This window comes from Homo sapiens, chromosome 15 (genome assembly GCF_000001405.40).
Source record: "Homo sapiens chromosome 15, GRCh38.p14 Primary Assembly".
Taxonomy (NCBI): Eukaryota; Metazoa; Chordata; class Mammalia; order Primates; family Hominidae; genus Homo; species Homo sapiens.
The window spans coordinates 62,232,112-62,259,498 of record NC_000015.10 but is presented as its reverse complement, the minus strand read 5'-3'; the positions used below and the strand labels follow the sequence as shown (position 1 = coordinate 62,259,498).

Sequence of the window (27,387 nt, the reverse complement as noted above, 5' to 3'; positions counted from 1 at the left end):
GTACTATGACAATATACATAAAACATGCTTGAAAGTGGTCTCAGAGCCAGACTGGGTCTGGCTGCGTTTTCTTGAGGCTCAAAAATGAGAAGCAAACTAGGAAAGAAGGGGATTTATTGCTGTAACTGGATACAGAGAGAAGGCTGGAGATAACTCCACCAGACCAACTCGAAATGTTACAGTATTCTTAGTGTTTATATAGGTTGGGGTTATGTGTCTACGTACAGTATAGCATTCGCCTAAGTCCACTGATAACTAATTTTGTTTCAACTAGAAGGTCAGAGGCAAAAAATGCTTGCTAAGTCTGATTAAGCTGTGAGGGCCCTGGTACCTTCAAGGTCTGTCTACTGTGGTACCTGAATGATTATTTCTATCTTACCTCCCTTACAGCTTGGTCTGGAGACTGCCTTAGACCCTCCGATGAATCTATTCAAACAGCTGCCTCTGTTACCTTGACTCGTCTCAGATTCCGTCGACCCGAGACAAGGAATATAAGACTGTCTCTATTATTTTGACTTGCTCCAGGTTAGGGAGAAGCCTATGCAAGGGTCCTACTGACCATATGTTTCATTTTTAGCTTTGATACCTGGGCACGGATTTCCCTAGGTTTAACTATTTGCTCAATGTTAAGGCAGCTCTGTGGAAATTTGTTTGTATAACTGGAGTGCGGTGCAGGGCTCTCTGTGTGACTGTCATGAAGGCCTGTCTGTGTGACTATCAGGGAGAATTGGCCTGCCACAAAAGGATTCATACAAAACTCAGGAGAGAGAAACAGGGTGGCTGGGAGATATTTCACTTCTGTACCTTCTGAGTTTGGGACTATGTGAATTTATCATTCTTTCAAAAAGTGAACAAAAAGTTAATTTCCTCCTTCCTTTCTGTGTCCCGACCCCCAGTGAAAAAAAGGGTTAGAGAATCAGATATACCTGGGTGTTCAAATCCCAGCTCTGTCTGAGTGATCTTAGGCAAGCAATTAACCTCTAATACCCCATTTTTTTAATCTACGCAATAGAGGTAAAAATAGTAACTGTCTCATATGGTGGTTGTGAGAATTAAATGGGATTGCTAGCATGGTGCCTGGTGAAGCGCTCAAAGCTTCAAACAGTGGTAGTAATAAGGGTAATAACAATAGCAATATTCTCTGATCTCTCTGGGCCTCTGGTAGCCAGCTATAAATTTGATCTCTTTCCCCGTCGCTTCCACCCTTATTGAGTTCTTTGAGAAACAAATGAGACTATAGGCTTGGAAATGCCATGAAAACATGTCAGCTGTGATTGAGAGTAAGGAATTGTTGACTGGGGAATAGTTATTATAGCTATTGTTACTGGCCAGCCAGCTGCTCCTCTGCCTGTTTTGTCCTGACTTAACCTTTCTGTATTTGCAGTATATCAAGGAGGTAACCAAAGACAGAGATGCCCTCAGGCTGGAGTCATACAAGAATAGGTAGGATGGGGGAGGGTGGGATGGGAGGTGTGGGGCCCTTAGCGTGGGTGATGTGCTGGGAGGTGGGAAGGCTGCAGGTGAGCATGGTGAGGTGATCATACAGGTTTGCATGTGTGCACAGGCTACGCTTTAGGGCCGGCTGTGCCCCTGACTCATGCTTTGGCCTCGGGGAACTCATGTCTTCTCTCTGGACTGCCACCTGTGACTTTTGATTCCTGAGGTCCCTTCCAATGCCATGGTTCTGTGGTTGTGGGGTGAGGTGAGGATAGAGGAGCAGTCCTTTCTGCTCTTCATTGATTCCACAGTAGTCCTTTCTGTTCTTTGTTCATTCTTTTCTCTACTGCCTCTGGCCATAGCCAAAACAACGAGGACCGGAAGCAGAAGAACTCAGAACTAGAAGAGAAGCTTCAAGTCCTAGTGACCGAAGATTTCGACTCAATCTGAAGCAACTGCAAAGGAAGCTGGAGAGGGCTAAGATCCTGCTTCTGGCAAGAGGCTGCAGCCCCAGGGGTGGTGGGAGCCCCATCCAGCTGGGGACATGGTCTAGGGATCATGCAGGTTATGGGGAGGCTCCAGCCAAGAGCCGGAAAATTTGGGTCCTTGTTCTGGTCCTGCCATAGAATCCTCTAGAGACTGCTAAAAATCTACAAACTGGGCCCTGCCATAGACCTGGGGAACCAGAATCTCAGGGTTAGGGCTTAAATTTGTTTTAAATGCATCATGGATGAAAACCATTATTATATAGATTATACTTATATGGCTAGCTCATGAGCCTGTTTATTTCCTTCTGAGGTTCAAGCCAACACTTCAACTATTCCACGGTGATAATAGATAGCAGAGTTTTTGTTTGTTTGTTTTTTTCTTGGGATGGGGCCTCCCTCTATCACTAGGGCTGGAGTGCAGTGGCATGACCTCGGCTCACTGCAACCTCCACCTCCCAGGCTCAAGCGATCCTCCTGCCTCAGCCTCTCAAGTAGCTGGGACTACAGGTGCATGCCACCACTCCTGGGTAATTTTTGTATTTGTACAGATGGGGCTTTGCCATGTTGCCCAGGTTGGTCTTGAACTCCTGACCTCAAGCAATCCACCCACCTCAGCCTCCCAAAGTGTTGTTATTATAGGCATGAGCCACCATCCTTGGCCTGAGATCTTTTTAAAAATTATTTAATATTTTATTTCTAAAGCAAAGCAACTTCACAGTAGAGATCTTTATTGACCAAGTTGTACATTGAGCCCAGCTCTAGACCTTTTAAAGGGCACTGTGTGGAATGGCCCAGGATCCCCAGATCTGAACTTCTCACTCTTTACCATTCAATTTGATTCTAGGAAATCAGCGCGAAACAGTCTTAGATTCCCTGCCTCCAGACCTTATTTTCCTGCCTCATAGAGCTTTATGTTACTGTCCTTTTGAGAGAATCCAGATTCAGACTTTCAGTTCTGTGGCTGTGGGCCAAAACCAACAAAGTCCCAAATCCTCTGTCCTTGGGAGCTTGAGGAGAGTTTACCAGTTCATGGTCCTAGTGGGTCTGATAACTTTGCCTTTAAAATCCACTCCTGGCCCCTGCCTACTGCTTCATGGCCTGGGGAATAGAGTGGAGGGGGCCACCCTTGGTCACCTTCCTTTGACTCTCCCAAGGAAACAGCACAACCAGGAAATTGTGGATCAACTAGAATCACACTAGTAATGTAATTTCTTTGCTCACAGCATGACTGCTGGGTTTGGGGGGCACTCAGATGTAGAGGTGCTAGTCTCGTCTTGCTGACCCCCAGCCTGGGAAGAAGGCTCACCCCCCAGGTTCCACCTCATCCCCACAGGGTCCCTGATAACCTGGTCCCATGGGTGGGCCTGTCCTGGGGCATTGGTGGCATTCTGGGGGCATGTCCCTTGCTGTGCCATCTCTGCCTCCCCCAGTAAGAGCTGTGTCTTCCTCTTCCTATAGGAAAAGCAAGAAAGCCAGCAAAACCAGGGAGAGCCCTAAAGAGGCAGTTAGAGGTGAGTGGAGGGTGTGAAGTTCCCTCCTGTCCTCTGGAGAATGTTGCTTTCCTTCTCTTTCAGCATCTGCTCGGCTTTTCTCCCAAAAGTTCAAATCAGACAATTGGAATCTTGATGTTTGAGAAAGCAGAAATGAAGACAGCACTGTATCACACTGAACGTGCTGCTGCCAGGCAGTTTGAAGGTGGGAATCTGGGCACCCGTCATCCTTCAACCTGCTGCTTTGACAGGATTTTAGGGGTAGTCCTTTGGGCCCCATCTCAACCTCTCTCATTTCAGAAGAGTCCACAGATCTGGCCAGCTGCCTGCAGTATTCCCAGCAGTTTACGGGAGAATTGGAACGAACTCTCTTTGCTCTCTCCACGCAGCAGAAGAACATGGACAGTGTGAGTCCTACAGCCTCCCTCATCCCCTGGCAGCCCAGCTTCCCAGATGGAGGAGTTGAAGCTGGTTATGAAGCCCTTGATGCTAACCAGCAGTTACAGCAGGCCATGGAGGAGCGGGCACAGCTGGAAGTACACCTGGGGCAGGTGAGGCTTTGCAGAGGGAGGGATGTGGAAGGAAGATGACCCCAGGTGGCCAGGAGCGTGTGAGGACCAGTGACAGCCCTTCCTAACTTCTGTGCCCATTCTTGCAGGTAATGGGGTCACTGAAACAACTACAGATGGAGAAAGATCAACACGCTGAGAATCTGAAAGGAGAGAGCGCCTTGTGGTGGCAGAGGATGCGGGAGATGTCAGAGCAGGTGAGACCTGACCCTTCAGCCCCCACCGTAGATAGGTCACTTGATTGTTCCAGGCATCTGTGAAATGGGAGGAGCACAGCCAGAGGTGGTCATGGGTCTGGGCTTTGTGGAGGTAGGGGCAGAGAGGGAGATGGTAGCTTGTCCAGCTGCCAGCCCCTCTCTGCAGGGCCCTTTCCCCCTGTGCTTTGGGCAGGTGCACGCGTTGAGGGAGGAGACGGTGCATAGCATGAGTCGAGTACAGGAGCTGGAGACGATCTTGGCTGAACTAAGGAACCAGATGGGTAAGCTGGGGCTGGGGTGACCTGGGAGCAGGACTGGCATCAGAGGGCTGTGGGGATGGCTTAGAATGCCAGAGAGGTGGATGCATGGAAAGGCTTTGAGGCAGAGGGAAAGAGGTCTGTGCCAGGAGGCGGCAAGTCTTGTAATCGTCATGAGCCTCAATGTCCCCATCAGCAAAGAGGAAAAAGTGTGTGTTGTCAGCCACCCACAGTTGTCTCTATCTGAAAGTGGCTTGGAAGATTGGCTACCATCAGGGTGCAAGGAATCATTAGCAGGGAGGCCAAGTTTGGGGAGCCTGAGGGGTGCAGTGGATCAAGAGGAGGGTTTTTTTTTTTTTGAGAATGCAGAGGGTTTTTTTGAGAATCATTAGCAGGGAGGCCAAGTCTGGGGAGCCCGAGAGGAGCTGTGTACCAAGAGGAGGGTGTTTTTGAGAATCCAGAGGCCGTTATTGTCTGCTTCCTTTCTCAGCTGAATCCCACCCCTGGAGCCCCCAGCAGGGGGCGCAGCCCTCATGTGAAGCGGCACTTCTGAGGGGACCTGTGAGCCAGAGCCCTGCTTTGATGGCTGTGGATGAGAGGCGATGATTTTTCTAATCTGCCTCCATCCTTCCCAGTGCCGTGGGAGGCAGACACCAAGTTCTGGGGTCTGCAGCTGCAGCAGCAGCTACAGGCAGAGGCTGAGCACCTGTGGGAGGAGCTGGAAAGTCTAGCAGGACAGCTCCAGTGGGCCCACATGCAAGACAATGAGGACTTGAAATGCCTGAACTGGGAGCAGGAGAGGCTGCTGGAGCTGGGGCGGGTGGCTGAGCTCTGAGGGGAGCAGGCGGAGGTATGCAGGCAAACCCTGGGGACCGTGCAAAATGACCTCACCACCATCAGCCCCACACTCTCCCAGAACCCTGAGCTCAAGGAGCAGCTACAGAGAGCAGCTTTGTAAAACTGGTGCATCCCACCTGGGGAGACTGCCCTCCTCCCCAGCCCTCTAGGCCTTTGTTTCCCCATCTGTTAAGTGGGGCAGTGTAGCCCTCATGTGAAGTGGCACTTCTGAAGGGACCTGTGAGCCAGAGCCCTGGTTTGATGGCTATGGGGGAGAGGGGATCATTTTTCTAATCTGCCTCCATCCTTCCCGGCGCCATGGGAGGCAGACACCAAGTTCTGCGGTCTCCAGCTGCAGTGGGTGGCGTGATTGCTTCTCTCTGTCCAGAACAGTGAGAATATGGAGATCAACAATGCACTTTAGTCTGAGCAGCATGTCAAGGAGGAGCTGCAGGAGAAGCTGGGCGAGCTGTAGGAGATGGTAGCCCCTGCTGATTATGCCACTGCAAGGGAGAAGGGAAGAGAGAAGAGAGAGGCAGCTACATTGTACATTGCCCAGACTACTACTTCCTCATCACTGTCCTCTGCCCAGGAGGGGCCCAGTTAGGGTCACTCTGTGGCACAGACTGGCCGTCTGGAAGAACAGTGCCTTTCTCTTCCCTGACTTTGGTACACCTTCCTCCAGCCTGCTGTGGCTGCCACAGGTCAGAACCTGCTGCTGTCTTTTGCTGAACTCCAGGGGGAGCGAGGTCCTCATGTATTCATGAAGGAGGCCGTGCAGCCCCTGCTTTGAGCTTTGGCCATTCAAAATGCTGCCTAGCAGCCCAAGGCCTGGGCAAACCATATCCACACCCCCGAGTGGCTCCAAGCATGCATGACTGTCACTGTCATTGCGTGAGTATCTGTCATACCTGTTCCACACTCTTGTGTCCATGCCACTGAGGCACCTTCTCTCCTGCATGGCCCCCTAATGCCCTGCTTTGTTCTGTGACAGACGCCAAAGACAATGCTGCATCTGTCTAGCCACCTGCCAATGACACCGTGTTACCTGGTGGTGTCCCTTGCCCTGGTGCCAGTCTTGCTAGCATAGCGGCACCTCAGGTTCATGCTTCCTCCTCCTCTGCCCACTGCCCTCCTGTACCTACTATGGATTCTCTTCTCTTTTCACAAGTAGTTTGTTCCCTAGGGCCAGGTGCCCTTCCTGGGGACTGGGCTGGGGGAAGGCTGAGACTGGGCTTTTCCTTGAGGTTTGGGGAGATAGAATATTGTTGGAATGAGCTTGGGAACTTGGCTCACCTGTCCTCGGTGATTCTTACAGAAATTGAATGACCATCTCATATGTTTCTTCCCACACAGAATCATCATGCTAGCCCCAATCTCATGGATGAAAGCAAGTGAGTGTCTCTTATCAGGGCAGCAGTCTCTAGGCTGAGGGAGTCAGGGAGGCCACTGTCTAACACCTTCTTTCCCATTGAGCCACCTGCACCCCTGACGCCTGTGTCTCTGCCCTTAGGACCTTCTCATTAACCGAGAGCCTGCAACAACTCTCCCAACAGCTCAATGGCGTTGTTTCTGAGGAACTTCAGAAATTGAGGGGAGTGCGGGGGAAAGGAAAGTATGATAGAAAGAAACTGAGGCAGGAATCACCAGAGAGAGGAAAGATCCTGGGACTGGCCGATTTGCTGGGCCATGTTGAGGAAGTTGCCTCTTCCCTGAGGCTTCTTCCTTGAGGCTGTTCACATGAAGGAGTTGTACCCCGTGGCTGGTTACATCATTTTATCCTACTGTAGAAACACCAGATGAGAGCTGCTTGGGAGGAAGGGATGGTGGGGAGATAAAAACCATGAGAGAAGTTGGCACAAAGAGGTTATGGGATGAAGGGTCCAAGTTAGGCAGAAAAGAAAATGTTGTCAGTTGCTGGGGAAGAAAGGAAGTCAGAGGGCTTAGACATGGAGGGGACAGAAGATTTCCATGCGCACTCTCATCTCTTGTAGTCAGCAACAGGTATCTGTGCGGAGGGCTCTGGATCATCCGCTACCCTGAAGGATCTGGAAGTAAGAGGCCCTGGGCCATGACCCAGTGACCCTGCAGGCCAGCCCTCCAACCTCCTCCCACAGTGGGGGCTGGGTGCCCCTCTGCCATCTGAGACCTCTCACACCCTCCCCCCAACCCTAATGATTGCTCTCTCTACCTCTCCCCTCGATCCTCCTCCAACTCCTCCTCTCTTCACGTGCCTCAGAGCAGATACCAAGAGGTAACAGTCGCCCTGGACTCGAGTTATATAACAATCAGTCGACGGAATAAAACCATCGAGTCATTGGTAAGAGTTCAATGGGGTCCACCAATTCCACGCTGCAAGTCCTGGGCTCCAGTTTCCCCTTGGGGCCCTGAAGAAAGGGCTGAGGGTCCCTGATGCCAAGGGCAAATGGGGAGCAGGGGGGCCGAGGCCTCAGCTAGAGGGACCCCAGAGCACGGAGCATGCATCATGGCTCTTCTGTTGCTGCCCTCTTTGCCTACTGTCTCTTCTTCAGATACCCATGCTCCAGCCCTTGCCACACATGTCCTGGGGTTGTGGCTTCTCAGGGAAGCACTGGCCTGATTGGTTGTCAGGAGCCCCGTATTTCCACTCTGACTCAGGCCCTAATTTGCTCTTTGATTCTGGGCAAGCCACCTCTCCTCCTTGGGCTTGTGTTTCCCGAGGAGGTAGAGTTAGAAAGTATCAAAAGTCTCTGTTAGCTCTGAGAGTCCACGATTTAAAGGTCCAGTAGAATGTAAGCCTCAGGGCCAAGGGATCCTGTCTGTCCTTTTCTGTCCTACATCTCTGCTATGAAGAACCATACCTGGCCTGTATGTGCTCAGTCAATGTTTGTTGAGTGAATGCACCTTTCTAAATCACAAGCTGGTAGAAGGGTGAGCTTTTCTCAGACTCCATCTCTAAAGGTTTATGTTACTGTCCTTTCGGGAGAATCCAGATTCGGACTTTCAGTTCTGTGGCCGTGGGCCAAAACCAACAAAGACCCAAATCCTCTGTCCTTGGGAGCTTGAGGAGAGTTTACCAGTTCATGGTCCTAGTGGGTCTGAGAACTTTGCCTTTAAAATCCATTTCTGGCCCCTGTCTACCGCTTCCTGGTCTGGGGAATAGAGTGGAGGGGGCCATCCTTGGTCACCTTCCTTTGACTCTCCCCGCAGAAACAGCACAACCAAAAACTTGTCAAGCAACTAGAAGAAATGATTTGTTTGCTCACGGCATGACTGCTGGGTTTGGGGGGCACTCAGATGTAGAGGCCCCAGTCTCGTCTTGCCCACCCCCAGCCTGGGGAAAAAGGCTCACTCCCCAGATTCCACCTCATCCCCACAGGGTCCCTGATAACCTGGTCCCATGGGTGGGCCTGTCCTGGGGCATTGGTGGCATTCTAGGGGCATGTCCCTTGCTGTGCCATCTCTGCCTCCCCCTAGTAAGAGCTCTGTCTTCCTCTTCCTATAGGAAAAGCAAGAAAGCCAGCAAAACCGGGGAGCCCTAAAGAGGCAATTACAGGTGAGTGGAGGGTGTGAAGTTCCCTCCTGTCCTCTGGAGAATGTTGCTTTCCTCCTCTTTCAGCATTTGCTTGGCTTTTCTCCTAAAGGTTCAATTCAGATAATTAGAGTCTTGATGTTTGAGAAAGCAGAATTGAAGACAACACTGTATCACAATGAACGTGCTGCCAGGCAGTTTGAATGTGGGAATCTGGGCACCCGTCATCCTTCAACCTGGTGCTTTGACAGGCCTTTAGGGGGAGTCCTTTGGGCCCCATCTCAACCTCTCTCATTCTAGAAGAGGCCGAGGATCTGGCCAGCCATCTGCTGTATTCCTGGCAGCATGTGGGAGAGTTGGAGCAGGAGCAGAGGAAGGCAGATAGGGTGAGTCCAACCGCCTGCCCCATACCCTGGCAGCCCGGCTTTCCAGATGGAGGAGTGAGGGACCTTTAGGTCCCTTCTGCGGGATGGAGTGTCCTGCCCAGAAAGCAGCATGGGCCATTTCTCGCTGCTTTTGTGCGTGCTTGTTAGAGTCAGCCTGGGGCTGTGTCGGCTGCTGTGGGTGAGTTGGGGGGTGCTGTGGGGAGCGAGCACTGGATGCAGAGCTCGGAGGCCAAGTGCCTACCCTGCCCTTACCTGGCTGTGGCCTTGGTCAAGTCCTAGGTGGGAGATATGGTACTTGCACTGTGAAGGTACAGAAGAGTATCTTTAGTATGTTAACATTTGTGCAGAGAGAGGGAACACGTGTGTGTGTGTACTATGATAATATACATAAAACATGTCTGCAAGGATTTGTAAAAAACTCAGGAGAAAGGACCAGGGTGGCTGGGAGATATTTCCCTTCTGTATTTTCTGAGTTTTGGACTATGAGAATGTACCCTTCAAAAACTGAACACAAGATTATCCCCCTTTCCATCTGTGCCCCCACCCCCAGCTGTTAAAAGTGGAGGGTGTCCAGCTTCTTGACGTCTTGAACAAAGAACTGGACAAAATGCACAAACAAAGCGAGGAAGGAATGAAAGGACTTACTGAAACTGAAAGCACACTCCACAGTGTGGGAGCGCACCCGAGCATAAGGGCTCAAAGGCACCATTACAGAATTTTTGGGAGTTTACCCCCTAGAGGATTCCATTGGTTACTTGGGGTATGCCCTATGTAAATGGAGAGGATGAAGTAAAGTTACAAAGTCATTTAGCCATAGGCCCCATAGAGAGGATATTTCCTGTTATAGCTGAAGTGTGAACAGGCCTTATGTTCCCTGCCTCCAGATCCTATTTTCCTGCCTCACAGCGAAAAAATGGGCTTAGAGAATCAGATATACCTGGGTGTTCAAATCCCAGCTCTGTCTGAATGATCTTAGACAAGCACTTAACCTCTAATACCCCATGTTTTTCAACGACACAATAGAGGTGATAATAGTAACTGTCTCCTATGGTGGTTGTGAGGATTAAATGGGATTGTTAGCATGGTGCCTGGTGAAGCACTCAATAAAGGTTCCAACAATGGCAGTCATAACGGTAATAACAATAGTAATATTCTCTTTTTTCTCTGGGCCTCTGGTAGCCAGCTGTAAATTCGATCTCTTTCCCTGTCCCTTCCACCCTTACTGAGTTATTTGAGAAACAAATGAGACTGTGGGCTTGGAAATGCCTTGCAAACATGTCAGGCGTGATTGAGAGTGAGGAAGTGTTACTGTGGAATAGTCACTGTAGCTGTCGTTCCTAGTCTGCCAGCTGCTTCTCTGCCTGCTGTATCCTGACTTCACCTTTCTGTATTTTCAGTACAACAACCAGTTAACCAGAGACAGCGATGCCCTCAGGCTGGAGTTATACAATAACAGGTAGGACGGGGGAGGGTGGGATGGGAGGTGTGGGGCCCTTAGTGTGGGTGATGTGCTGGGAGGTGGAAGGGCTGCATGTGAGCATGGTGACGTGGTCACACAGGTTTGAATGCGTGCACAGGCTACGCTTTAGGGCCAGCTGTGCCTCTGACTCATGGGATAGCCTTGGGGAACTCATGTCTTCTCTCTGGCCCGCCACCTGTGACTTTTGATTCCTGAGGTCCCTTCCAGTGCCATGGTTCTGTGGTTGTGGGGTGAGGGTAGAGGGCTGATCACCAAAGCAGCCCTTTCTGTTCTTTGTTCATTCCTTTCTCTACTGCCTCTGGCCGTAGCAACAGCAATAAGGAGCTGAAGCAGGAGAACTCAGCTTTGGCAGAGCAGCTTCAAGTTGTACTGATTGACAAGGCAGGGATGCAGTGTGACTTGGAGGAGCTGAAAAAGAAACTGGAACTCACTGAGCTCACGCTTCAACAGGTGAGAGGCTGCAGCCCTAGGGGTGGTGGGGTATGGGAAGGCTCCAGCCAAGAGCTGGAAAATTTGAGTCCTTGTTCTGGTCCTGCCATAGAATCCTCTAGAGACTGCTAAAAATCTACAGATTGGGGCCCTGCCATAGATCTGGGGAATCAGAATCTCAGGGTTAGGGCTTAAATTTTTTTTTTTAAATGCAGCGTAGATGAAAATCATTATTTTATAGATTACACTTATACGGCTAGCTCATGAGCCTGTTTATTTCCTTCTGAGGTTCAAGCCAACACTTCGACTATTCCACGGTAATAATAGAGAGTAGATTTCTTATTTGTTTGTTTGTTTTGGGACAGGGTCTCGCTCTGTCACCTGGGCTGGAGTGCAGTGGCGTGATCTCGGCTCATTGCAACCTTCGGCCTTCCATGCTCAAGCAATCCTCCTGCCTCAGCCTCTCAAGTAGCTGGGACTATAGGCGCATGCCACCACGCCTGGGTAATTTTTGTATTTGTAGAGACAAGGCTTCGCCATGTTGCCCAGGCTGGTCTCTAACTCCTGAGCTCAAGCAATCCACCCACCTCAGCCTCCCAAAGTGTTGGGATTACAGGCATGGGCTACCATCCCCGGCCTGAGATCTCTTTAAAATTACCTAATTTTTTATTTCTAAAGGAAAGCACCTTCACAGTAGAGATCTTTATTGACCAAGTTGTACATTGAACCTAGCTCTAGCCCTTTTAAGGGGCACTGTGTGGAACAGCCCAGGCTCCTCAGATTGAAACTTCTCTTTCTTCATCATTCAGTTATCTAGCTGGTGTGAAGCCCCTGATGCTAACCAGCAGTTACAGCAGCCCACAGACGAACGGGCACAGCTGGAAGCACACCTGGGGCAGGTGAGGCTTTGCAGAGGGAGGGATGTGGAAGGAAGGTGACCCCAGGGGGCCAGAAGCATGTGAGGACCAGACAGCCCTTCCTAACTTCTGTGCCCATTCTTGCAGGTGATGGAGTGGCTGAAGTATCTGCAAATGGAGAGAGAGCAGTATGCCGAGTATCTGCATGGAGAGAGTGCCATGTGGTGGCAGAGGATGCGGGAGATGTCAGAGCAGGTGAGACCTGACCCTTCAGCCCCCACCGTAGATAGGTCACTTGATTGTTCCAGGCATCTGTGAAATGGGAGGAGCACAGCCAGAGGTGGTCATGGGTCTGGGCTTTGTGGAGGTAGGGGCAGAGAGGGAGATGGTAGCTTGTCCAGCTGCCAGCCCCTCTCTGCAGGGCCCTTTCCCCCTGTGCTTTGGGCAGGTGCACACGTTGAGGGAGGAGAGAGTGCACAGCATGAGTCGAGTACAGGAGCTGGAGACGATCTTGGCTGAACTAAGGAACCAGGTGGGTAAGCTGGGGCTGGGGTGACCTGGGAGCAGGACTGGCATCAGAGGGCTGTGGGGATGGCTTAGAATGCCAGAGAGGTGGATGCATGGAAAGGCTTTGAGGCAGAGGGAAAGAGGTCTGTGCCAGGAGACGGCAAGTCTTGTCATCTCCACGAGCCTCAATGTCCCCATCAGCAAAGAGGAAAAAGTGCCTGTTGTCAGCCACCCACAGTTGTCTGTACCTGAAAGTGGCTTGGAAGATTGGCTACCATCAGGGCGCGAGGAGTTATTAGCAGGGAGGCCAAGTCTGGGGAACCTGAGAGGAGCTATGCACCAAGAGGAGGGTTTTTTTTGAGAATCCAGAGGCCCTTATTGTCGGCTTCCTTTCTCAGCTGAACCCCTGCCCCCGGAGCCTCCAGCAGGGCCCTCCGAAGTGGAGCAGAAGCTACAAGCAGAGGCTGAGCACCTGTGGAAGGAGCTGGAGAATCTGGCAGGACAGCTTCAAGCCCAAGTGGAAGAAAATGAGGGCTTGAGTCACCTGAACCAAGAGCAGGAAGAGGTTGCTCAGGTTGTTGGAGCAAGAGGAGAAGTTGCTGGAGCAAGAGGAGAGGTTGCTGGAGCAAGAGGAGAGGTTGCTGGAGCAAGAGGAGAGGCTACTGGAGCTGCAGGAGAGCCTGCTAGAGCAGAAGCGGAAGGCCGCTTCCTTTCTCAGCTGAACCCCTACCCGGAGCCCCCAGCAGGGCCCTCCGAGGTGGAACAGCAGCTACAAGCAGAGGCTGAACACCTGCGGAAGGAGCTGGAGAATCTGGCAGGACAGCTTTAAGCCCAAGTGGAAGAAAATGAGGGCTTGAGTCGCCTGAACGAAGAGCAGGAAGAGGTTGCTGAGATTGTTGGAACAAGACGAGAGGTTGTTGGAGCAAGAGGAGAGGTTGCTGGAGCAAGAGGAGAGGTTGCTGGAGCTGCAGGAGAGGCTGCTAGAGCAGAAGCGGAAGGCCGCTTCCTTTCTCAGCTGAACCCCTACTCCCGGAGCCCCCAGCAGGGCCCTCCGAGGTGGAGCAGCAGCTACAAGCAGAGGCTGAACACCTGCGGAAGGAGCTGGAGAATCTGACAGGACAGCTTTAAGCCCATGTGCAAGAAAATGAGGGCTTGAGTCGCCTGAACCAAGAGCAGGAAGAGGTTGCTGGAGCAAGAGGAGAGGATGCTGGAGCAAGAGGAGAGGCTGCTGGAGCTTGAGTGGAAAGCCGAGCCTTGAGAGGAGCAGGTGGAGGCGCTCAGGCATACCGTGCGGAACGACCGTACCACCATCAGGCGCGCGCTCTCCCAGAAACACGAACTGAAGAAGTATCTGGGCGAGCTGAAGGAGATGGTAACCCCCGCCCAATTCAAGAAGGGCAGGGAGGTGGGCATCAGCCTCTGGGGAAGGGAGGTGGGAGGCCAGAGGCAGCTCCAGCCTGGGGTACAGGTGACCCTAGCAGCCTCCAGGGCCGTGCCGTGACTGTTTCTTGCTTCCTGCCCTCTGACTTTTAGAGGTGGATAGCCTTGGACTCCTCCCAATATCCTCTAGCTGGCTATTGTCCCAGCTAGAGACATGGAGCACCCCCAATCACAGGGAAAAAACAGTGGTATAAGAGGCTCCTTAGATTCAAACTGAATTCTGGCCTCGGCTCCACTGCTCACCATTGAACTACTTTCCATCTCTAAGTCTTGGTTTCTTTCACTTAAAAAGGAAATGAGCATTTTCCTCGCAGAGGTGCTCAGAATTAAATGAGATAATACATGGAAAGCATTAGGCATGTAGCACACTTAGCAGATGGTGGTTGGCTCCTTCTGCTTTTCCACCTGTGGCTTACAGGTTAAATGGTGGGAAATGGGTGTGTGATTTGAGGCTGGGGAAGGAGGCATGGGGCTCTCCGCAAGGGAGGCAGTCACTTAGGCCTGGAGCAAGGGGCCAGGGGCCTGGGCAGGCGACAGAGTCCCACAGTACCCTTGCTACCCTATTTCTGGGCCCAGAATCTGGAAGCCAGCCACCACCTGCCCTCACGCCCAGGGTCTTCCTGCAGGTGGAGCTGAAGAACCAAGAGGCTCAGAGCCTGCCGCAGCGGGGAGACCAGTGCTGAGGTCTTCTGCAGCAGTACTATCAGCAGCTGATCTCTGAGGAGGAGGCACTGCACAGGCAGTTATTTCTGCAGATCCAGCTCGTGGACCAGCTGCAGCACCAGAGAAAAGAGTAGCAGAGATGGCCTGCCAAGAGTTGCAGGAGACCCAGGAAAGGGAGTTGCTGAGGGCAGGTCCCCGAGGGGGATGAGACCTGGCAACATCCATGCCTTCTCATTCTCTTTCCTGACCCCTTAGGAGCGCCTGGAAGCAGAACCAGTAGCTACAGGCCCAGTTGAGTCTCATGGCTCTCCCTGGGGAAGGTACGGGGGAGACCAGTCACAGGAAGAGGAGAAAGTCCTCGGAGGAGCAGGGGACTGTTAGCAGCATAGGATTGAGGAGTTGGAAGAGACCCTTAGAACAGCTGGTCATTATGCCGACGGGGTGTCCGCACTGAGTTCGGCATCAATATGGTGCCCTGGGAGTGGGGGACCACCAGGTTGCCTAAGGATGGGTAAACTGGCCCAGGTCAGAAATGGATCAGGTCAGAACTCCCAGGTAGATAGGTAGTGGTACTGTGCCTGGGCAACATAGCGGGACCTTGGCTCTTTAAAAAAATGCAATAAAAATAAAGAGCAGCTACTCATTCCTCTCTGGGGAGGGGCTGGCCTAGGGTTACACAGTGAGGGTGGGGGCAGAGGTGGGCCCACTGTACTCCCTTGTTGGGTTGTCTGAGGACCCCTCTGGTCACTGCCCCGCCCCACCCCCATAGGAGATGGACTGGAGAGTGAGGAGGAGGAGGAGCCTTGGTCCATGCTGAGCATCCTGGAGGACCTGGAGAGCTGGGAGACCATGATGAGCCTGACTCCCCATGCCCCACCTTTGCTTCCTCCCTCTCTCCTCCCTCCCAGACACCCTTATGCTCTTGGTTTTTCTGCCTTCTGATTTCTTTGGACCCTCACCCCTTCCCTGGGAGCCAGTGGTCAGACACCATTTCACCTGAGACCAATAGGTGCACCCTCTGAGGCCCCAAGGGAAGGGCTTCTCTCTACTGCCCTGGCCCGTTCATCCTGTGTATCCCCCTACAAGAATGGGCACCTCCTGCCCGCAGGTGGCATTTTAAAACTTGGCTTTAGCCAGTGCCGAAGAGGAGCAGGCACAGCTACATGGGCAGCTGAAGGAGCAAAGGGTGCACTGCCAGCGCCTGTCTTACCCGGTGGCCTTGGCCCAGAAGGAGCCAGAGGCAGCAGCCTCAGCCCCAGGGACTGGGGGCGATTCTGTGTGGGGAAACCCACCGGACCTTGCAGGGGACCATGGGGAAGCTGCAGGTGAGTGAGTCTCTCCTGGCATGGCCAAGAAGGGTGGGGGCGGGGCAGGTTGTTGCGGGGATGTGACCCCATTATTTTGACTCCAGAGCCGCTTTATGGAGCTCATGCAGGAGAATGAGCGGGTGGAGAAACTGGAATGTCGCTGCATTCAGCTGTCTGGACAAACAGACACCATCAGTGAGCGAGAGGTCAGGGCACGGCAGGGGGAGCTGCAGGGTGGTCAGAGGGGCCCCAATGTCTGAGCCCTGTCCTCCTGCAGGAAAGTACGTCACATCATACCAGAGCCAGAGGTCAGTGCTGAAGACGTGGACCGGGAGAATGAGTACATAAGCAGGCTGGCTCAGGACAAGGAGGAGATGAAGGTAGGGCGTGCAACATCTCTGCAGGGGTGGAGGTGGGGGTGGGTGTGGGCACGGGCGTGGCAGCTGAGCACCCCTCCCTCCAGGTGAAGCTGCTGGAGCTGGTGTTGCAGCTTGTGGGCGACTGCAACAAGTGGCATGGCAGATTCCTGGCAGCTGCCCAGAACCCTGCTGATGAGCCTGCTCCATGGGACCCAGCCCCCCAGGAGATTGGGGCTGCCAACAAGCAGGGTGGTGAGTAGAGCCCTTGGGCAGGGTGGGCTGGCAGGATGAGGGGAGGGCTCACACAGTGCTCTGAGCCCTGCCTCCCTGTCTCCAAAGATCTCCCACAGTGTGGAGCCTGAACAAGAAGAGGCTGGGGAGGGTTTTCCCCACGACAGCCCCACGGCACAGCAGATCATGCGGCTGCTTCATGAGATGCAGAACCCCCAGGAGCGCCCAGGCTTGGGCAGCAACCCCTGCATCCCCATTTTTTACTGAGCTCAGGAGAGCAAGATGAAGGTAACAATCATCTAAAAGCCAGCCACTGTCAGCAAAGCCTGGAGAAATGGGACCAGAGAGTCTGCCCCTACCACGTCCCTGCCACCCCTTCCCAGTTACCCCTTTACCCTTACAGTAGCAAAATAAGACCCCTATCTAGTGAGGGAGACAGGTGCAGATGAGGTGAAGATCACTGTCATCTAAAAGCAGGCCACCAAATTTAAAAAAAAAAAGTTATGGGAAAAAATTTATGGGATTAAAAAAAGTTATGGGATTAAAGAAATTATGAAAAAAGCTGCAGGTAAAATGTTATGAAAAAAGTTAGTTATGGAAAAAAGTTATGGAAAAGTTATAGAAAAAAAGTTATGGGATTAAAAAATAGTCATGGATAAAAATTTAAAAAATAAAAAATAATAAAAACAGGCCACCGTCAGCAAAGCCTGGAGAAGTGGGGTTGGAGGCTGTGCCCCTACCATGTCCCTACCACCCATTCCCACTCACCCTTTTACCCTTAGAGTAGCAAGACAAGCCGCCTGTCTAATGGGTTGAGACAAACAAGTGCAGACCCTTTGCCGCCTTGGCCAGGGCTGAGTCCTTAAATTTCTGGAAGACGATTATTGTTATTTAAGAGCTAGAGGCTCAGAGTTTATTTCTTTCGAGGAAGCCTCATGGCCTCTCTGATGGCGTTAATCCCACCAAAGCAATTTTTCCCTCATGGGGGCTCCCATTTTACTCAGAGAGGCAGCTGAGGCAGGACAATGGAGCTAATGTAGACCAGGCGAGGGCACGAGCTGCTGGAGGTGGGTCCCCTTCCCCAGTGTACATATTGTATCTGTGTAACATTTTGTATATTCTGGGGGTAGGGCTGCCCCCTGTATCATACATAGCAGAGGTTGGAGTTGGCACATGGGGAGGAGGTTCTAATAATTATTTGTGGCTGGGAAACTTATTTGATAGCATATGACAGAGGAGGGAGGCAGGGATGGGGTTGTGGCTCCCTGGTGATGAGACTCCTGTTTATTTTGCTTTTCATTTTGGAATAAATAGCTTTTAGCCATACTGCTCATCCTGGTGTGTTCCTATTTCCTTCACTGGCTCCTGGAGTTTGTGCCACTGAATGGGGAGCCCCAGAGTGTCTGAGCATGTCCAACTGGGCTGATGGGGACCTTCCAGGCCTGTTTCCTGGATGCTGCCTGGTGACACCTGGGGGATTCCACGGGGACTGCCGTGGTGCCTATGGGGCACAGTCCAGCCCTGACAGCCAACAGGCTCAGAATCCTGATCTAGCGGTGGCCGGGAAGGCAGGTACCAGCACCCAAGGGCACTGACTTCCATCCAGCCCAGGCATCTTCCATTCCATCCTCCTGCCTCCCTTGCCTGTCTGCACCTGGTGGCCTGTTCTGTCTGTCCCTCCAGAGTGCCAGCTGCCCTGCAGGCTTCCTCCAGGCTGAGTTCATGGCCCTGCACCCTAGTGGCCAGAACCGGCTTCACAGGATGAGCCAGCTAAGCTCCAGGGGCTTTCCAGGAAAAGTGTCCTTTGGAAAGGATGTGGCCTTTTCACTGCTCCCAACAGCACCCTAGTAATGGCTTGGCCCTTTCCCTCCCCTGAGCTCCACTGAAAACACAGCTAGCAGAGGACACATTTCCCATCATTCAGGATGGGTTTGATTCTCAGCCGAGAGACAGCAGGACTGGTAGAGACTATCAGGCCACATGGCTGCCTACACAGTACACCCATGCTTGGCGGGGGACTGAAGTGATGGCGGGGGCTGGCTGTCCACAGGCCGGGCATGACAGGGAGGCTCACTGGAGGTGGCACACTTTGGAGGGGCAACATTCCTGTTGGCTACTGAAATCTTCCTTTGGGCAGTAAGTTGAATGTCAAAATGAGGAACCATGGGTCATTTTACCTTGATGTGATATACCTGGCTCCTTGCCAAAGGATACCTTACTTTTGGTTTTGCTAAGGGAAGAGGAGACAAAACATGAAGGCACTTGTTGACTAAAAGGAAGTCTTAAAAAATACTTCAGCATTGAAAAGAGAAATGGAAAAACTAGAAAATAAACCGTACTTCACAGAAGCTCAAGAGAAAAAGTTCCCTCTTTCCATATGGCCCACAGATGCCAACAGTGGGAGAGGGTGGCATGTTTAAAAACAGGCAGAATAAGAACCTATTCACAAGCCAGAGATTTGGAAGTGACATCAGCTACCCCTCTCCAGATATAGGGGAAAGTACAGATCCTTGGAAACCCTAGACCTCACTCTATGTTACTGGATTCTCTTTCGAGCAGCAGCTTAGAAAGGCAAAGATGGGGACAATTTTAAATTTCACTTCCTATGAATTATGCAGCTTCTTGCTAAGCATGGCTGAGAGTTTATTTGGGCAGGAGAGATTATGTGCCAGTCAAGGAACCTAAGAGGAGCCTACTCTGAAGAATGCTGACAGCATCAAAAGGTGTGGAGGAGGAGCTGGAATAAAATATCCAAACTCCATAGACTCTAGGGCACATCTTGGGAGAGGTTCCAAATGTGGGCCCTAGTGATGCCATCTGCAGCAGAGAGAGCAATTTCCAAAGAAGATGTGATGAGGAACCATAATTTGATGGTGAAATATCTTATATCAAATTTTGATAATAGTACATAACTCTGTGTGTGTTAATTCCATTAATATGTATTATTTCAGGAAAAGTGGATAAAATCTAATCATCTCTTCCACAATATGTGCATATAAGTGAGTGAGGATGCCACAGCTGCCTACCTAGCAATCCTAAATTATCCAACTAGCACTCAGGGGAGCCATAAACTTTAAGGGTCTATATGTTTAGCCACAACTCAGGTCACTGGGCTCCCTAGCCCAAGTATAGTTTCAGCCAATCTGGCAGCCGTGGACCCAAATTTGAGGTGATCAAAATCAGTCTTCCTCTGATATATACACAGAATGCCCCGCCCACCCCAGCCTTGCACCCAACTACAGCCCAACTTACAAGTTAATTATCATGATCCCTGCCCTTTGGAGAGCATCACATAATTCACAAGCAGCGGATGAAGAGCGGGGAGTTGGTTTCATTCATCTTTTTCCTCTTTATTTCTAGCCTAGTGCATGGTATGGTCAGGCTCTGAACACTTATTTATTACGGAATAAAGGAGAAAGGGGAGAAGAGGGAGAGAGTTGGAAGACAGCTAAAATATGCTTGTATCTAAACAATGAAAAGGAGAGAGAATACTGCAAGATGACTCTTTCCCCTCTTGAAGCACTCTTACTAACCTCATGTCTGTTTCTTTCCTTACTCTTGCCCTTGTCCTTCTTCCAGCGACCCATTCTGTCTCCATTTTTGATGTCACTAATCTCTTCCTGTTTGGGGCCTTATTTCTACCCCTATTTGCTTGCAAGACTATCTACCTTTCTTTTTCTCATTCTCTGCATATCTCATCTGTTTCTCTGATTTTTATAAATTTGATCTCTTATTCTGTCATCTGATAACCTCTTTCTTTTAAGTAGGAATGGCAGGGCCTCAGGAGAGCCAATGGGTAAAAGAGTAGCTAAGAGAAAGAGCATCATCTAATGTTTCCCACAGGGGCAGGACCCATTCATCCCTCCTCTCCATGCTTTGTCCCAGTAGGTCAGAAGTGGTTAGTCAAGGGTGTCCTACCTCGTCTCTCTCTGGGCTCCTTTGAGTTGTCCTCCTGACCTACTACCTACTGTTACCATCAACATGGAAGCTAACCCTTTCAGACACTACCCAGTTTCTGTTGTTAACTGATCTACCTCAAAGAGGCAGCCCCAGGCCCTAATTTTGAACAGCAGTGAAGACCTACATTCTACAAAAGCCAAGAGAACGCCATGTTTTTCCCACAGTTCGCTTCCCCAGAAACTGACACCTGAGAACTCCATATACCCAAACCTAGTCTTGGTTCGGAGGTTTCTAGGCAACTTCCTAACACATGCACAGAGGCTACCTCTAAGGGGTGAATCCTAGTTTCAGCTCCCAAGTCCAGCTTCACCCTAAGATCAGCTCCACTAACTCTAAAGAACCTTATGGTATAGGAGCTATGTCTCACTCATCTTAGTATCGCAGCATTGGGGAATGTCTGGCCACCATGGGTTCTCTGTTTGAATAATAAAATAACTTCCCTAAGGCATTAAAATTTAAGTTAAATATTTTCTAAAGCATTATAATACATAGAAAAGTTTAGGGAAAAAGCAGTTGCTTCCTGTACGGAATGAATCTATTGGTGTCATATCTAAGAAAAACCATTGTCAAATCGAAAGTCATGAAGATTTACCTCTATGTTTTCTTCTAAAAGTTTTATGGTTTTAGCTCTTATATTTAGATCATTGATCCATTTTGAGTTCATTGTGTATATAGTGTAAGGTAAGAGTTCAACTTCATTCTTTTGCATGTGGCTATCTAGTTGTCCAAGCACAATTTGTTGAAAATACTATTCTTTCAAATGGTCTTGATGTCCTTGTTGAATGAAAATCAATTGACCCTGCTTGTATGGCTTTCATCCTGGACTCTCAATTCTGTTCCATTGATTTATATGTCAATCTTGTGCTAGTACCACACTGTTTTGATTACTGTGGCTTTGTAGTAAGTTTGAAATCAGGAAGTGTTTGAATTCCACTTTTATTCCTCTTTTTCAAGGTTTGTTGGCTATTTGAGGCCCCTTTGCAATTCCATATGAATTTTGGGATGAGCTTTTCTATTTCTGCAAAAAAGATCATTGGGGTTTTGATAGCGATTGTATTGAATTTTATTTGTGGATTCTTTAGGATTTAAAAAATATATATTGGTCATTATTTCTATCTTAAAAGTATTAAGTCTTCCAGTCCATAAATATGGAATGTTTTTCCATTTATTGGTGTCTTTAATTTCTTTTAGCAATGTTTTGTAGTTTTCTGTGTATAAATCTTGCACTGCATTGGTTAAATTTATTCCTAAGTATTTTATTATTTTTGATGCTATTACAAATGAAATTCTTTTCTTAATTTTCTTTTTGGGTTGTCCATTGCTAGTGTATAGAAATATAACTGATTTTCTGCCTTGTACCCTAACTCTGCTGAGTTAATTTGTTAGCTCTAATAATTTTATTTGTAGATTCTTTAGGATTTATATATATATATGGAATCATGTCATCTGTTAATGGTTTTACTTCTTCCTTTTCAATTTGGATGCACTCTCTTTTTCTGGTCTAATTGCTCTGGCTAGAAGTTCTAGTATGATGTTGAATAGCACTGGTGAAAATGGGCATCCTTGTCTTATTCCTGATCTTAGAAAAAATTTCAGTCTTTTACTACTGAGTATGATGTTAACTGTGGTTTTTAAAAAATAAATACCCTTTTATTATGTTGAGGAAGTTCCCTTCTACTAGTCATAGTTTTCTGAGTGTTTTTATCACTAAAGGGTGTTGGAGCTTGTCAAATGCTTTTCCTGCATCATTTGAAATGATCATGTGAGGCCAGGCACGGTGGCTCATGCCTATAATCCCACCATTTTGGGAGGCCAAAGCAGGTGAATTGCCTGAGCTCAGGAGATTGAGACTGGCCTGGCCAACATGGCAAAACCCCATCTCTACTAAAAGTACAAAAATTAGCTGGGCGTGGTGGTGCACGCCTGTAGTCCTAACTACTTGGGAGGCTGAGGCAGGAGAATTGCTTGAACCCAGGAGGCAGAGGTTGCAGTGAGCCAAGATCACACCACTGCACTCCAGCCTGGGTGACAGAATGAGACCCTGTTTCAAAGAAAACAAACAAACAAAACAAGATCACGCAGACTTTTTCTCTTCATTCTATTAATGCGGTATATTATATTATTACATTGATTGATTTTTGTACGTTGAACCACTCTTGCAGTCCTAGAATAAATCTCTAAATTCTGTTATTATGCTTTACTGTCCCTTCTTTTACATATTTTCTCCTGTCATATTTATTTCCTGCTATATGTGTACATATTATCTATGCATTCGTCTTTTTCCACACTTGTCACTCTTAGTTACTATTTTGTCTCTCTTTTATTGCTTGCATGTTTGGCTGATTTTCCTAAATAAGCACATTATATTTCACTGTCACAGGCAGACTAGAACAAACTCAGCAATGGAGGGCAGAAGGACTCAAGGAAAAGGGTAGTTAACCAATTACAGAGGCAGAACACACTAGCTTAAGTCAAGATGAGGTTGCAATGTCTATTTGTCCCATGCCACAGTATCTGTGGATCAAGAATACTGACCTCCCTGGACTCTTGTCAGATTCTGACCTAGAGAATAGGGAAAAGAGCTACCATCCTTAGGGGCTTGTTATGAACTATTGAGAGGCTCCTTGACCAATGGGAACATGTCTCTGTGACAGCATTTTGGGAATTTAAGGAGCATCAGGAAAGCCTCACTTTGTTAAAGAGGTAAGTAAACTAAACCCTGCTAATAATGCATTTGAGTATATCAGCTTCATTTCCTTAGGTGAAGAGCCTGGACCTTCTTAAACATTAAACACTCTAGGATATAAATGGTCAGATCTTTTATCTCTACATGAGTAAGTTGTGAGAAGAAGGAGAGAAAGAAGAGGAAGGTCAGAGGTACAGGGGAAGAGGTTCTTTAAAAAGGGCAAAACATGCACAAAATGTAGGCCAAGGGAGCTATAAACAAACTTCCGCATTGTACAAATGAGCCCAGGGTGAATTCTGGGAGGGGGATCCAAGCAAACAGTGAGTTTGCCTTCTACAATTAGGATGCAAATTCCCCTTAAAAAAGGTGGATGCTCAGACATACCTAGCACAAGTCACAAGACATAGGATTCAGAAAAGACACTAGAAAAATCTCTCTTCCAAATGATGTTTAGTTTTCAGGTTCTGGCTATGCTACACTAAGGCTTTCCCAGTTTCCATCAGCAGGGGAAGGAGTATAGGGCATTTTTGGGAATCTAAATTTCTGAATGGTTGCAGCCCCCAGCTCTAAACCTTTCAACATAAACCCATCAAGGAGTGTGTTTCTGGTCCCAATCCTGGATCCCACAGATTTGACTGCTATGAGGTCTCCCTGTCCCTTACTATTTTCCCCTAAAATCTGATTTTGGTCTTACCACAAACTCTTGAATTCTCATAAGATAGATATATCTAGGGAAATTCTAACTCCTAAACCTAAACAAAATAACTGTAAAAAATACCAGAAGAATTGTATTTCAATCAAGTTTTCACATTTTAAATTGCTATAATGTATTTATTTTTTATTTTTTAACTTTGAAGTTCAAGGGTACATGTGCACGTTTGTTACATAGGTAAACTTGTGTTATGGGGGTTTGTTGTACAGATTTTTTTTTTTTTGTCAGCCAGGTATTAAGCCTAGAACCCATATACCCATATTCCTGATCCTCTCCCTCCTCCCACCCCAACCCTCCGATAGGCTTCAGTATGTGTTGTTCTTCTGTATGTGTCCATGTGTTTTCATCGTTCAGCTCCCACTTGTGAGAACATGTGGTGTTAGGTTTTCTGTTCCTGTATTAGTTTGCTAAGGATAATGGCCTCCAGCTCCATCCATGTTCGTGCAAAGGACATGATCTCATTCTTTTTCATGGCTGCATAGTATTCCATGGTATGTGTGTATATATATATATATATACCACGTTTTCTTGATTTAGTCTATCATTGGTGGGCATTTAGGTTGATTCCATGTCTTTGCTATTCTGAATAGTGCTGCAATGAACATACGTGTGCATGTATCTTTATAACAGAACAATTTAGAGTCCTCTGGGTATATACCCAGTGATGGCATTGCTGGATCAAATGTTATATCTGTCTTTAGGTCTTTGAGGAATTGCCACACTGTCTTTCACAATGGTTGAACTAATTTACACTCCCAACAACAGTGTATAAGCATTATTTTCTCTACAACCTTTCCAGCATCTCTTATTTTTTGACTTTTTTGTAATAGCCACTGAATTGCCTTTAACTCCTAATTTCCAGCCATTCCTTGTCTGATTTTAGGCGACAGAGCTGCTGACAATTAGATCTGCCCCAAGGATGACTCCAGCGATAAATGCCATGATGGCTCCATCTTTGCCCAGCCCTTTTGCCAACCAGGAGAATGAACATTCATCCCTCCAGGGAGAGGTAGGGAAACCAATAGGAATCCCACTCCATCAGTGTGATCTTCAGGTGGGAAGCAGAATGGCTGAGTCCCTGGACTGCAGGTGGAAGCTCACCTCTAGAGCTCATCGTGGGGGAATAGCCTAGCCTTAAAAAAACTATTCATATCGTTTTCAAGCTTGTTTAATATCAGTATGATCCTAGATCCTTCTGGATGATTGATATTGGAGATGCAGTAGAAAGGGATAGCCCTGAGTACCCAAGAGGTGGGAAGAGGGCACTGCAAGAATACAATCCCCCATTTCACAAGCTGATCTTCTGATTTTTATTGACTGATTGATTGTTTGAAATGGGGTCTTGCTCTGTCACCCAGGCTGGAGTGCAGTGGCACAATCATAGCTCATTAGAGTCTCAACCCCCTGGGCTCAAGCAATCCTTTTGTGTCAGCCTCCCAAGTCCCCAGGCTGCTCTCAAAGTCCTGGGGTGAAGCAGTCCTCCCACCTCAGCCTCCCAAAGTGCTAGGATAACAAGCGTGAGCCACCGAGCCCAGCCCTAACCTACTGAGGACACTGAGAGGAGGCTCCCAGTCATGCAGGGCAGAAGCTACCAACCAGAGGAATCCCACCCTAAGGCAGCCAGGTCCAAGACCTGTTTCTATCAGGCCATGGAGGGGCTGTGAGTTTAGGAGTAGGGGTGAGGTTGAGGGGTGTCAGGTTTCAGAAGTAACTCTAGGAACTTTCTCCATTTTAAGTCAGCTTGGGAGCATTTCTGTTCATTTTCCTACAACAAAGCCACTCAGCATCACCTACACTGTTTCAGGTCACTTAAATGGTGCCCAAGGCCAGAGCTGGATTGTAACTTTTTAGCTGGATTGGAAAGGAAGGCTAGTTGGGAGCACATCAGCTAGGACTCACCAGAAGCAACTTGTGCAGAGAAGAGTTAACATAGTAGGCCTGAGACTGCTATCCTTGAAAAGGATACCTTGGCTGGTATCTGGGAACTTGGGTTTAGGGTTCCACACTTTTGGGGGTGGAGCTGAGTGGGAGAGAAGAAGGAGAAAAACAATTTTCTATTATTTGGTCCCAATATATCCTTGTCTCTTTCCATTTCTGCTCCTTTCAGACACATCCCTTAAACTACTTTTCTCATATCTCATTTTTCTTCTCTCAGAATTATAGAAAGAGATTTTTTCTAAAGAAGCTCACCAACTATACCAGAGATGCCTATATTGTCTGTTTGAATGACTATATTGGGCTATATTGTCTGTTTGAATGACTATATTGGGCTATATTTTGTCTGAATGACTATCTTCCAGTTGATAGCAGTGCTCTTCTTGTCTGCTCATTTCTGATACTGTGAGTTTTGATTTGTGTCTTCACTGCCTTCTTTTCATCTCTTTTTCAGATTCATTTCTTCTCTTTCCCTCTGCTATGGTATCAATCTACATTTTTTGTTTGTTCTGAAGCTGTTCTTGAATCTGCTTCTGTATTTGTCTCTGACATAATCTCAGCACTTGAATGTTTGTGTGTCTTCCTTTCACAGCTAAGTGCATTCAAAGAAATCTTTTCTAGGGAGGCCTGGAGAAAGAAGCCATCTGAGTACATGAGCAGAACTACTTCAATCATCTATTTGTGATCAAAGAACAACTTGTTGTTGTTGTTGTTGTTGGGCCCCAGTGGGTCACAAATGATTAGATAGTACTCGTGTTTGTCAAAATCTGTGCCCTGACCTGGCTGCCTGCAGGCTCTCCTAGATTCTAACATCTTTCAACAAAAAACTATCAAGAAGTGGTTTCAATACATATGTGGAGAAAACACAAATAAAAGAAGACTACAATAACAAAAAAAACAAAAATTTTTAAAAACTAGAAAAAAATGGTTTCAAGCCCCACAGCTGACCACCACTAAGAGTCAATATTTCCAAAGCCCACTATCTTGATCAAATACTTGGAAGCTCCCTGGCCTCTCCTTTTTGACCAGTCTCTTTGGGTCTAGGTAGCTGAGACAAAGCCAATGATATTAAAACAAAGCAACAGTGACCTTCCTCCCCACCTCCTACTCTTGCTACAAAGGCAGAGCCCAGTACCCTAATACACACATGCGACTGACTCAGCCCCAAAAGGTTGTCCATCACTCCTGGCTGTGTTTCCAGGGCTTCAGACAGGGCTCCAAGGCTTCCTGGGAGGGTTTCTCCAAGGATTTCAGCAGGGGCTCCAAGACTTCCTTTTAGAGGTTTTAGATAGTTTATGTTAAGATTTCAAGGAGTCCCTTGCGGGAACTATGGGACTTATCAAGGTTTTCCAAATTTCCACTTATGGGCCCTAGTGGAGGCCATAGATTTATTCTGCGGGCTTTTAGATATTTTGGGCAGCAGCTTCTAGCACTGTCTTCTTCTTCAAGGTCTCAGGGAGTAGCTGATCATTATTAATCAGGGAGGCTTCTAGAGGATCCTCTCAGCATATGCTTTCCTCAGCCACCTCTTTTCATTCAGTCATTCAGCAGACATTTAAAGAGTACTATATTCTAGACATTGAGCTGGGTCAAACTTATGCCACATAGCATCAGCCACAAAGAGCTCACAGACATGGCTGTTCCCAGGA

General features: G+C 48.5%; 1 pseudogene across 2 annotated transcripts, besides 5 other annotated features; it reads left to right on the top strand.

Annotated features, from left to right (window-relative positions):
- The first annotated feature begins 1,795 nt into the window (after positions 1–1,795).
- GOLGA2P11 (GOLGA2 pseudogene 11) lies at positions 1,796–17,778 on the top strand (annotated as a pseudogene). Of its 2 annotated transcripts, NR_169521.2 has the most exons (24): positions 1,796–1,931; positions 3,384–3,436; positions 3,526–3,620; positions 3,805–3,966; positions 4,074–4,181; positions 4,375–4,462; positions 5,961–6,169; positions 6,632–6,669; positions 6,789–7,329; positions 7,515–7,595; positions 8,760–8,810; positions 8,899–9,172; positions 10,570–10,628; positions 10,961–11,102; positions 11,891–11,980; positions 12,086–12,193; positions 12,387–12,470; positions 12,844–13,850; positions 14,512–14,868; positions 15,318–15,873; positions 15,960–16,061; positions 16,133–16,235; positions 16,319–16,466; positions 16,554–17,778. The product of NR_169521.2 is annotated as a GOLGA2 pseudogene 11, transcript variant 2 (transcript). The 2 variants fall into 2 exon arrangements; NR_136885.1 differs by lacking the exons at positions 1,796–1,931; positions 3,384–3,436; positions 3,526–3,620; ... (9 more) ...; positions 10,570–10,628; positions 11,891–11,980 and adding an exon at positions 10,704–10,731 and having other exon boundaries at positions 12,844–13,791; positions 14,558–14,839; positions 16,554–16,970.
- Positions 4,855–5,149: a silencer, noted in NCBI's record as "tiled region #15238; K562 Repressive DNase unmatched - State 12:CtcfO". NCBI's record gives its function as "represses a minimal TATA promoter and a strong SV40 promoter by Sharpr-MPRA in K562 cells {active_cell/tissue: K562}" and the evidence as "EXISTENCE:reporter gene assay evidence [ECO:0000049][PMID:27701403]".
- Positions 4,855–5,763: a biological region, named in NCBI's record as "Sharpr-MPRA regulatory region 15238".
- Positions 4,871–5,763: an enhancer, noted in NCBI's record as "H3K27ac-H3K4me1 hESC enhancer chr15:62545935-62546827 (GRCh37/hg19 assembly coordinates)". NCBI's record gives its function as "activates a minimal SCP1, AML or CMV promoter by ChIP-STARR-seq in primed H9 embryonic stem cells {active_cell/tissue: H9 hESC(primed)}" and the evidence as "EXISTENCE:reporter gene assay evidence [ECO:0000049][PMID:30033119]".
- Positions 15,983–16,483: an enhancer, noted in NCBI's record as "H3K4me1 hESC enhancer chr15:62535215-62535715 (GRCh37/hg19 assembly coordinates)". NCBI's record gives its function as "activates a minimal SCP1, AML or CMV promoter by ChIP-STARR-seq in primed H9 embryonic stem cells {active_cell/tissue: H9 hESC(primed)}" and the evidence as "EXISTENCE:reporter gene assay evidence [ECO:0000049][PMID:30033119]".
- Positions 16,484–16,984: an enhancer, noted in NCBI's record as "H3K4me1 hESC enhancer chr15:62534714-62535214 (GRCh37/hg19 assembly coordinates)". NCBI's record gives its function as "activates a minimal SCP1, AML or CMV promoter by ChIP-STARR-seq in primed H9 embryonic stem cells {active_cell/tissue: H9 hESC(primed)}" and the evidence as "EXISTENCE:reporter gene assay evidence [ECO:0000049][PMID:30033119]".
- Positions 17,779–27,387: the final 9,609 nt, after the last annotated feature.